Here is a 9,875-nt window from a genome sequence, read left to right on the forward strand (position 1 = left end):
ATAGGCAATGTTAACACAGAGCTGGTGATAGCAGGAGACGGATCTGCAGAGACAAGCAAGGGTAGCTTCATCAAGGCAACACCCATTTCTTGAAACAATGGCTGTCTCCAAACAAAGTCTCCACTGCTCTTTATTTGCCTCTGAAAAATATCTAGCTGATTATGCAAAAATGCCCTACTCTTTTGCTATGCTAGGTTAAATTAAATTTATTATGTTGTTATGTTTCCGTTTTTATTATTTCTGAATACTGATACAGTGTTTTTAGAAGCCAGATTAGAGTTTTTCAAATTAGAGTTTCAAAATGTTCTCCTAACCCGAGGAAATTAATTTTATGAGCGACTTAAGCATCTACACTCTAAAAAGACACCTGCTTTCTCATGGTAAATATATGACTTTAGGATAATTTAAAGAGCCTTTGAAAAGTTAAAAAAGATCAGCAAAATCTACTAATAAAAACAGACAAGATGCTCAGGGGATTCAAAGTAGGTTAAGCTATCAAAATATAAATGCCATTTGAGAGGGATTCTGGCACTAAATTTAGGATTTTAGCATTTTGACACTGATAAATCTTGCTGCAGGGTTCCTAAATCTGATGAGAACACCTGGTAGTGATGCCCAAATGCCTGAATTAAAATATAGTTTTGATATTTCAGTTATTAGATTAAAATCAGAAACCTTTAAACACACAATAATTTATGTAGGATCCTTTTTGTGGGAGACTTCTAAAGTAGAGATTGACTCAGTTTGACTCTGGAAAGCTTCTAAATTGAAGACTTTAAGTGTATATGCCTTGGCCATATGATGCAATTTTATTCCATATCAAATGGAGAAGTCAAAAAGTAGAGTATGATATCATGCTGTTAAGACATAATGAGAAGATTTAAAAATTCTTTTAAATAAACTCTTTAATGGAAATATTCAGAGAGGATAAAAATATTCAGGTGGTATGATTTGACCTTTAGAGTCACATAAGAAAGATGAGTTAAATTCATTATTTATCTAGGTATTGCCTATTATAAAATAATAGAGACTTCAAGTGCTTTATATATAACCATTAGAAAGATTCGTGCATAAGCCAGTCTCCATAACATAATTGAGTACTGCAAAAATATCTGTGAGCTGAGTAATCCAGATGATATACAACACTACTACAAAGCAATTTTAATTGACATAGAAAATAAAGGTATTTTAAGAACACTTTTATAACATAAGAGATGATAAACAGAAAGCCTCTCTTTCTCCAAAGCTTTGTTTCAGTGTTGCTCAGAACAGAATATTGGGTATGGATATAATGAATTTCCCTTTTATTAATATATCAGCATTTTTCAAAAAATTGTCTCATATTAAAGCCCATTAGAACAGCAAAAATAAATGTAAAAGAATCTTCAAACCTGCTGGGAGGAGCCAAGATGGCCGAATAGGAACAGCTCCGGTCTACAGCTCCCAGCATGAGCGACGCAGAAGACGGTGATTTCTGCATTTCCATCTGAGGTACCGGGTTCATCTCTCTAGGGAGTGCCAGACAGTGGGCGCAGGTCAGTGGGTGCGCGCACCGTGCGCGAGCCAAAGCAGGGCGAGGCATTGCCTCACTCGGGAAGCGCAAGGGGTCAGGGAGTTCCCTTTCCAAGTCAAAGAAAGGGGTGACTGACAGCACCTGGAAAATCGGGTCACTCCCATCCAAATACTGCGCTTTTCCGACAGGCTTAAAAAACGGCGGAGTTTATATCCCGCACGTGGCTGGGAGGGTACTATGCCCACGGAGTCTCGCTGATTGCTAGCACAGCAGTCTGAGATCAAACTGCAAGGCGGCAGTGAGGCTGGGGGAGGGGTGTCCGCCATTGCCCAGGCTTGCTTAGGTAAACAAAGCAGCCAGGAAGCTCCAACTGGGTGGAGCCCACCACAGCTCAAGGAGGCCTGCCTGCCTCTGTAGGCTCCACCTCTGGGGGCAGGGCACAGACAAACAAAAAGACAGCAGTAACCTCTGCAGACTTAAATGTCACTGTCTGACAGCTTTGAAGAGAGCAATGTTTCGCCCAGCACTCAGCTGGAGATCTGAGAACGGGCAGACTGCCTCCTCAAGTGGGTCCCTGACCCCTGACCCCTGACCCCTGAGCAGCCTAACTGGGAGGCACCCCTCAGCAGGGCAACACTGACACCTCAAACAGCAGGGTATACCAACAGACCTGCAGCTGAGGGTCCTGTCTGTTAGAAGGAAAACTAACAAACAGAAAGGACATCCACACCAAAAACCCATCTGTACGTCACCATCATCAAAGACCAAAAGTAGATAAAACCACAAAGATGGGGAAAAAACTGAACAGAAAATCTGGAAACTCTAAAAAGCAGAGTGCCTCTCCTCCTCCAAAGGAATGCAGTTCCGCACCAGCAACAGAACAAAGCTGGATGGAGAATGACTTTGACGAGCTGAGAGAAGAAGGCTTCAGATGATCAAATTACTCTGAGCTATGGGAGGACATTCAAACCAAAGGCAAAGAAGTTGAAAACTTTGAAAAAAATTTAGAAGAATGTATAACTAGAATAACAATACAGAGAAGTGCTTAAAGGACTTGATGGAGCTGAAAACCAAGGCTCGAGAACTACGTGAAGAATGCAGAAGCCTCAGGAGCCAATGTGATCAACTGGAAGAAAGGGTATCAGCGATGGAAGATGAAATGAATGAAATGAAGCGAGAAGGGAAGTTTAGAGAAAGAAGAATAAAAAGAAATGAGCCAAGCCTCCAAGAAATATGGGACTATGTGAAAAGACCAAATCTACGTCTGATTGGTGTACCTGAAAGTGATGGGGAGAATGGAACCAAGTTGGAAAACACTCTGCAGGATATTATCCAGGAGAACTTCCCCAATCTAACAAGGCAGGCCAACGTTCAGATTCAGGAAATACAGAGAACGCCACAAAGATACTCCTTGAGAAGAGCAACTCCGAGACACATAATTGTCAGATTCACCAAAGTTGAAATGAAGGAAAAAATGTTAACGGCAGCCAGAGAGAAAGGTTGGGTTACCCTCAAAGGGAAGCCCATCAGACTAACAGCGGATCTCTCGGCAGAAACCCTACAAGCCAGAAGAGAGTGGGGGCCAATATTCAACATTCTTAATGAAAAGAATTTTCAACCCAGAATTTCATATCCAGCGAAACTAAGCTTCATAAGTGAAGGAGAAATAAAATACTTTACAGACAAGCAAATGCTGAGAGATTTTGTCACCACCAGGCCTGCCCTAAAAGAGCTCCTGAAGGAAGCGCTAAACATGGAAAGGAACAACCGGTACCAGCCGCTGCAAAATCATGCCAAAATGTAAAGACCATCGAGACTAGGAAGAAACTGCATCAACTAACAAGCAAAATAACCAGCTAACATCATAATGACAGGATCAAATTCACACATAACAATATTAACTTTAAATGTAAATGGACTAAATGCTCCAATTAAAAGACACAGACTGGCAAATTGGATAAAGAGTCAAGACCCATCAGTGTGCTGTATTCAGGAAACCCATCTCACGTGCAGAGACACACATAGGCTCAAAATAAAAGGATGGAGGAAGATCTACCAAGCAAATGGACAACACAAAAAGGCAGGGGTTGCAATCCTAGTATCTGATAAAACACACTTTAAACCAACAAAGATCAAAAGAGACAAAGAAGGCCATTACATAATGGTAAAGGGATCAATTCAACAAGAAGAGCTAACTATCCTAAATATACATGCACCCAATACAGGAGCACCAAGATTCATAAAGCAAGTCCTGAGTGACCTACAAAGAGACTTAGACTCCCACACATTAATAATGGGAGACTTTAACACCCCACTGTCAACATTAGACAGATCAACGAGACAGAAAGTCAACAAGGATACCCAGGAATTGAACTCAGCTCTGCACCAAGCGGACCTAATAGACATGTACAGAACTCTCCACCCCAAATAAAGAGGATATACATTTTTTTCAGCACCACACCACACCTATTCCAAAACTGACCACATACTGGGAAGTAAAGCTCTCCTCAGCAAATGTAAAAGAACACAAATTATAACAAACTATCTCTCAGACCACAGTGCAATCAAACTAGAACTCAGGATTAAGAATCTCACTCAAAACCGCTCAACTACATGGAAACTGAACAACCTGCTCCTGAATGACTACTGGGTACATAACGAAATGAAGGCAGAAATAAAGATGTTCTTTGAAACCAACGAGAACAAAGACAAAACATACCAGAATCTCTGGGACGCATTCAAAGCAGTGTGTAGAGGGAAATTTATAGCACTAAATGCCCACAAGAGAAAGCAGGAAAGATCCAAAATTGACACCCTAACAACACAAATAAAAGAACTAGAAAAGCAAGAGCAAACACATTCAAAAGCTAGCAGAAGGCAAGAAATAACTAAGATCAGAGCAGAACTGAAGGAAATAGAGACACAAAAAACCCTTCAAAAAATTAATGAATCCAGGAGCTGGTTTTTTGAAAGGATCAACAAAATTGATAGACCGCTAGCAAGTCTAATAAAGAAAAAAAGAGAGACGAATCTAATAGATGCAATAAAAAATGATAAAGGGGATATCACCACCGATCCCACAGAAATACAAACTACCATCAGAGAATACTACAAACACCTCTACCCAAATAAACTAGAAAATCTAGAAGAAATGGATAAATTCCTCAACACAAACACTCTCCCAAGACTAAACCAGGAAGAAGTTGAATCTCTGAATAGACCAATAACAGGCTCTGAAATTGCGGCAATAATCAATAGCTTACCAACCAAAAAGAGTCTGGGACTAGATGGATTCACAGCTGAATTCTACCAGAGGTACAAGGAGGAACTGGTGGCATTCCTTCTGAAACTATTCCAATCAATAGAAAAAGAGGGAATCCTCCCTAACTCATTTTATGAGGCCAGCATCATTCTGATACCAAAGCCAGGCAGAGACACAACCAAAAAAGAGAATTTTAGACCAATATCCTTGATGAACATTGATGCAAAAATCCTCAAGAAAATACTGGCAAAACGAATCCAGCAGCACATCAAAAAGCTTATCCACCATGATCAAGTGGGCTTCATCCCTGGGATGCAAGGCTGGTTCAATATACGCAAATCAATAAATGTAATCCAGCATATAAACAGAGCCAAAGACAAAAACCACATGATTATCTCAATAGATGCAGAAAAAGCCTTTGACAAAATTCAACAACCTTCATGCTAAAAACTCTCAATAAATTAGGTATTGATGGGACGTATTTCAAAATAATAAGAGTTATCTATGACAAACCCACAGCCAATATCATACTGAATGGGCAAAAACTGGAAGCATTCCCTTTGAAAGCTGGCACAACACAGGGATGCCCTCTCTCACCACTCCTATTCAACATAGTGTTGGAAGTTCTGGCCAGGGCTATTAGGCAGGAGAAGGAAATAAAGGGTATTCAATTAGGAAAAGAGGAAGTCAAATTGTCCCTCTTTGCAGACGACATGATTGTATATCTAGAAAACCCCATTGTCCCAGCCCAAAATCTCCTTAAGCTGATAAGCAACTTCAGCAAAGTCTCAGGATACAAAATCAATGTACAAAAATCCAAGCATTCTTATACACCAACAACAGACAAACAGAGAGCCAAATCATGAGTGAACTCCCATTCACAATTGCTTCAAAGAGAATAAAATACCTAGGAATCCAACTTACAAGGGATGTGAAGGACCTCTTCAAGGAGACCTACAAACCACTGCTCAAGGAAATAAAAGAGGATACAAACAAATGGAAGAACATTCCATGCTCATGGGTAGGAAGAATCAATATCGTGAAAATGGCCATACTGCCCAAGGTAATTTACAGATTCAATGCCATCCCCATCAAGCTACCAATGCCTTTCTTCACAGAATTGGAAAAAACTACTTTAAAGTTCATATGGAACCAAAAAAGAGCCCGCATCGCCAAGGCAATCCTGAGCCAAAAGAACAAAGCTGGAGGCATCACACTACCTGACTTCAAACTATACTACATGGCTACAGTAACCAAAACAGCATGGTACTGGTACCAAAACAGAGATATAGATCAATGGAACAGAACAGAGCCCTCAGAAATAACGCCGCATATCTACAACTATCTGATCTTTGAAAAACCTGAGAAAAACAAGCAATGGAGAAAGGATTCCCTATTTAATAAATGGTGCTGGGAAAACTGGCTAGCCATATGTAGAAAGCTGAAACTGGATCCCTTCCTTACACCTTATACAAAAATCAATTCAAGATGGATTAAAGACTTAAACGTTAGACCTAAAACCATAAAAACCCTAGAAGAAAACCTAGGCATTACCATTCAGGACATAGGCATGGGCAAGGACTTCATGTCTAAAACACCAAAAGCAATGGCAACAAAAGACAAAATTGACAAATGGGATCTAATTAAACTAAAGAGCTTCTGTACAGCAAAAGAAACTACCATCAGAGTGAACAGGCAACCTACAAAATGGGAGAAAATTTTCGCAACCTACTCATCTGACAAAGGGCTAATATCCAGAATCTACAATGAACTCAAACAAATTTAGAAGAGAAAAACAAACAACCCCATCAAAAAGCAGGTGAAGGACATGAACAGACACTTCTCAAAAGAAGACATTTATGTAGCCAAAAAACACATGAAAAAATGCTCATCATCACTGGCCATCAGAGAAATGCAAATCAAAACCACAATGAGATACCATCTCACACCAGTTAGAATAGCAATCATTAAAAAGTCAGGAAACAACAGGTGCTGGAAAGGATGTGGAGAAATAGGAACACTTTTACACTGTTGGTGGGACTGTAAACTAGTTCAACCATGTGGAAGTCAGTGTGGCGATTCCTCAGGGATCTAGAACTGGGAATACCATTTGACCCAGCCATCCCATTACTGGGTATATACCCAAAGGACTATAAATCATGCTGCTATAAAGACACATGCACACGTATGTTTATTGCGGCATTATTCACAATAGCAAAGACTTGGAACCAACCCAAATGTCCAACAATGACAGACTGGATTAAGAAAATGTGGCACATATACACCATGGCATACTATGCAGCCATAAAAAATGATGAGTTCATGTCCTTTGTAGGGACATGGATGAAATTGGAAAACATCATTCTCAGTAAACTATCGCAAGAACAAAAAACCAAACACTGCATATTCTCACTCATAGGTGGGAATTGAACAGTGAGATCACATGGACACAAGAAGGGGAATATCACACTCTGGGGACTGTTGTGGGGTGGGGGGAGAGGGGAGGGATAGCATTGGGAGATATACCTAATGCTAGATGACGAGTTAGTGGGTGCAGTGCGCCAGCATGGCACATGTATACATATGTAACTAACCTGCACAATGTGCACATGTCCCCTAAAACTTAAAGTATAATAAAAAAAAAAAAAGAATCTTCAAACCTAATGCCTAGAACATTTTATCAACATTAAACTTCTATTTAAAGTTTATTCTTAGCTATCTATAAGAAACGTTTACTAGGAAGCAGAAAAAATAAGCTCTTTCTAAAAGAGTATATTTGCAATTTGAACTTTCAAAAATTGATAAAGCAGTACACACATTTATTTTTAGAAATTGAAGCTGCAAAGCTAAGCAATTTCCTACTATGACATGTGTGTTGGACAGTGTAGGGCATAGCAATGATTAGTGATTTTCAGCAGCCTTTCTTGAATAGGCATTGAAAATAGCTAAACAAAAAAAGAGAAATGAGCTGAATTCTTGGAGTTAATATTTTGGAGTGAATTATAAAACAGAGTTCTTGCAATAATGCATGTAAATTAAAAATAGGTTAGCAAAGCATGAGTAAAAATAGTCAATTTTCAAATACTTTTCACAGCTCTCCGAGTCTGACATATTTCTCTGGCTAAAAGGGAAGAAACATATCGGCACTCATGTTGGGAAGACCTTAGAACAGCAAAGTACTAAAACTTGCCAAACCAACTTCAAGTGGCTTTCTTGTTAGTGCAATACACACTGCACTGAGTTCCTGAGCATAATATTTCCACCCTTTCCCACGGAGTCTGCTTAAATTTGAAGATTTTTTTTCTAGTAGGTGTATTGTCCTTAATTTTGGAGGAAGTTTTAAAAAGGTGGATTAATGTTATATATGCTTCCGAGAATATTATGCAACCATGAAGCTTTGCACTTCAACATAAATGAATCCCAAAAAGAGCCAGATGAACTGTTGGCTGGGAGGCAGAGCCTTAGGATGTTTCAAATTCATCGTGACTTCACATAAAGGTCCTCTCTGGAGTATGAAAGTCAATTTTACAGGTGTAAAATAAAGGAAAAGACGACAGTCTGAAAGTCAAACGAAATTCCAGGACCACCTGTATTTCAGTGAGGTAAGTGTTATAATAAAGTGTTATGGGTAGATACATAAAAGACAACTAATTTACAGTAAAAATAAATTGGGGGACTATTAAGAGACTGTCTTAATGTGGAATGAATTTTACAGAGTTTTTATGGTAACATTTGTAGATTAAAATTAGGTCAGTAAAGCATGAGTAAAAATAGTTAATTTTCAAATATTTATCACAGAGCTTTCTAGTTTACATTTAAGAATATATTCTGCTGCATTGGTTTGATATGCACAGGATTATTTTGTCTCCACGTAGGGGTAGGAAAGAAAACAAATTTGTTTTGCAATAGCCCAGTTTAATAGAGGTGGTACAAACTTTAGGAAGTATTTTAATTTTAGTTAAATTGATCCAGGTTAATTTGGAGACAATTATGAAGCACATACAAATTACAAATCATAAAATGGTAATTGTATTTGCAGTTGTAAGAACCCAAAAGATTTAAGCTCCATTAGCTAAGAATAAAATGCTGATAACCATGAGTCACAGCCATGGTTTGGATGTACTCAGAAAAGTTAACTACGTAAAAAAATGTCACCTTCTTATTCAGCATATTAGCTCCCTGGGTGTTTTCAAGACATATCTGCTGGCTTTTCTTTTAAAATTACACTTCCCTTAGCTACGCTGTGATATTACAGCTATGGAAGAGTGAGCTGGCTTCACCCTGCCTCATGCATCATCAGCCAAACTGTCAGTAAAGTGCTAATTGCAGAAACTTTATTACTTGAGGTGATACTGAACCAGAGAGAACACAGCTTGATTTTTCATAATCTAAACTTTGCAATGTGAGCAATTAGAAAAAAAAAAAAACTTTCCTTTTTGTTTCAATTTCTAAGCTAAGCAAAATTAAAATGGATGTCATTGACAGTAAAATAGAAACTTAAAAATGTTGTCCTTCTAGGTGACTTTATAACTTAGTATAAAATCCCATTAACCCCTTTTTATAAAAATGCATAATTTGAAGCCTAACAGCACTTGCAATTCTATGACACATTTGGCTACCTGTAATTGGAGAAAGACAGAACTTTATTTTCTGCTTCTGTCATTTTTGTATTTTCTGTAGAGGAAATATACTTCAAAGATATGCTTTATATATACTCTCTAAATTTATATATTTCCTATGGGATCTGAAATATTTAAAGCACCTTTAAACACTATTTCAGAAAATGGGTTTGCAGGTAGCACAAGAAATTTCCTCTAGAAATATAAAAATAGATGAGGATGGTTTAATGGAAAATTTATTGGAATAGATGCATGGAATGTTGGGACCATTTTTAGGGCAAATTCCATGGGGAGTGATTAGAAAAATCAGCAAATATAATTCCATGTGAAATCCTTGGGAAAATTCAGTATACAATAAAACACGAGTGGGATATCTAAATCAGACCTAAGGGTCTAAAAAGAAAACAAACCTATGATAGCCTCTTAAGGAGGAGAAATAATTAGGGACAGGATGGTAGAAAAGGCAAAGAAAGGAAAAATA

General features: G+C 38.4%; 1 annotated feature.

Moving 5' to 3' along the window:
- Positions 1,064-1,647: an enhancer, noted in NCBI's record as "H3K27ac-H3K4me1 hESC enhancer chr1:83647525-83648108 (GRCh37/hg19 assembly coordinates)". NCBI's record gives its function as "activates a minimal SCP1, AML or CMV promoter by ChIP-STARR-seq in naive H9 embryonic stem cells {active_cell/tissue: H9 hESC(naive)}" and the evidence as "EXISTENCE:reporter gene assay evidence [ECO:0000049][PMID:30033119]".

The sequence above is a fragment of the Homo sapiens genome, chromosome 1, assembly GCF_000001405.40.
Source record: "Homo sapiens chromosome 1, GRCh38.p14 Primary Assembly".
NCBI lineage: Eukaryota > Metazoa > Chordata > Mammalia > Primates > Hominidae > Homo > Homo sapiens.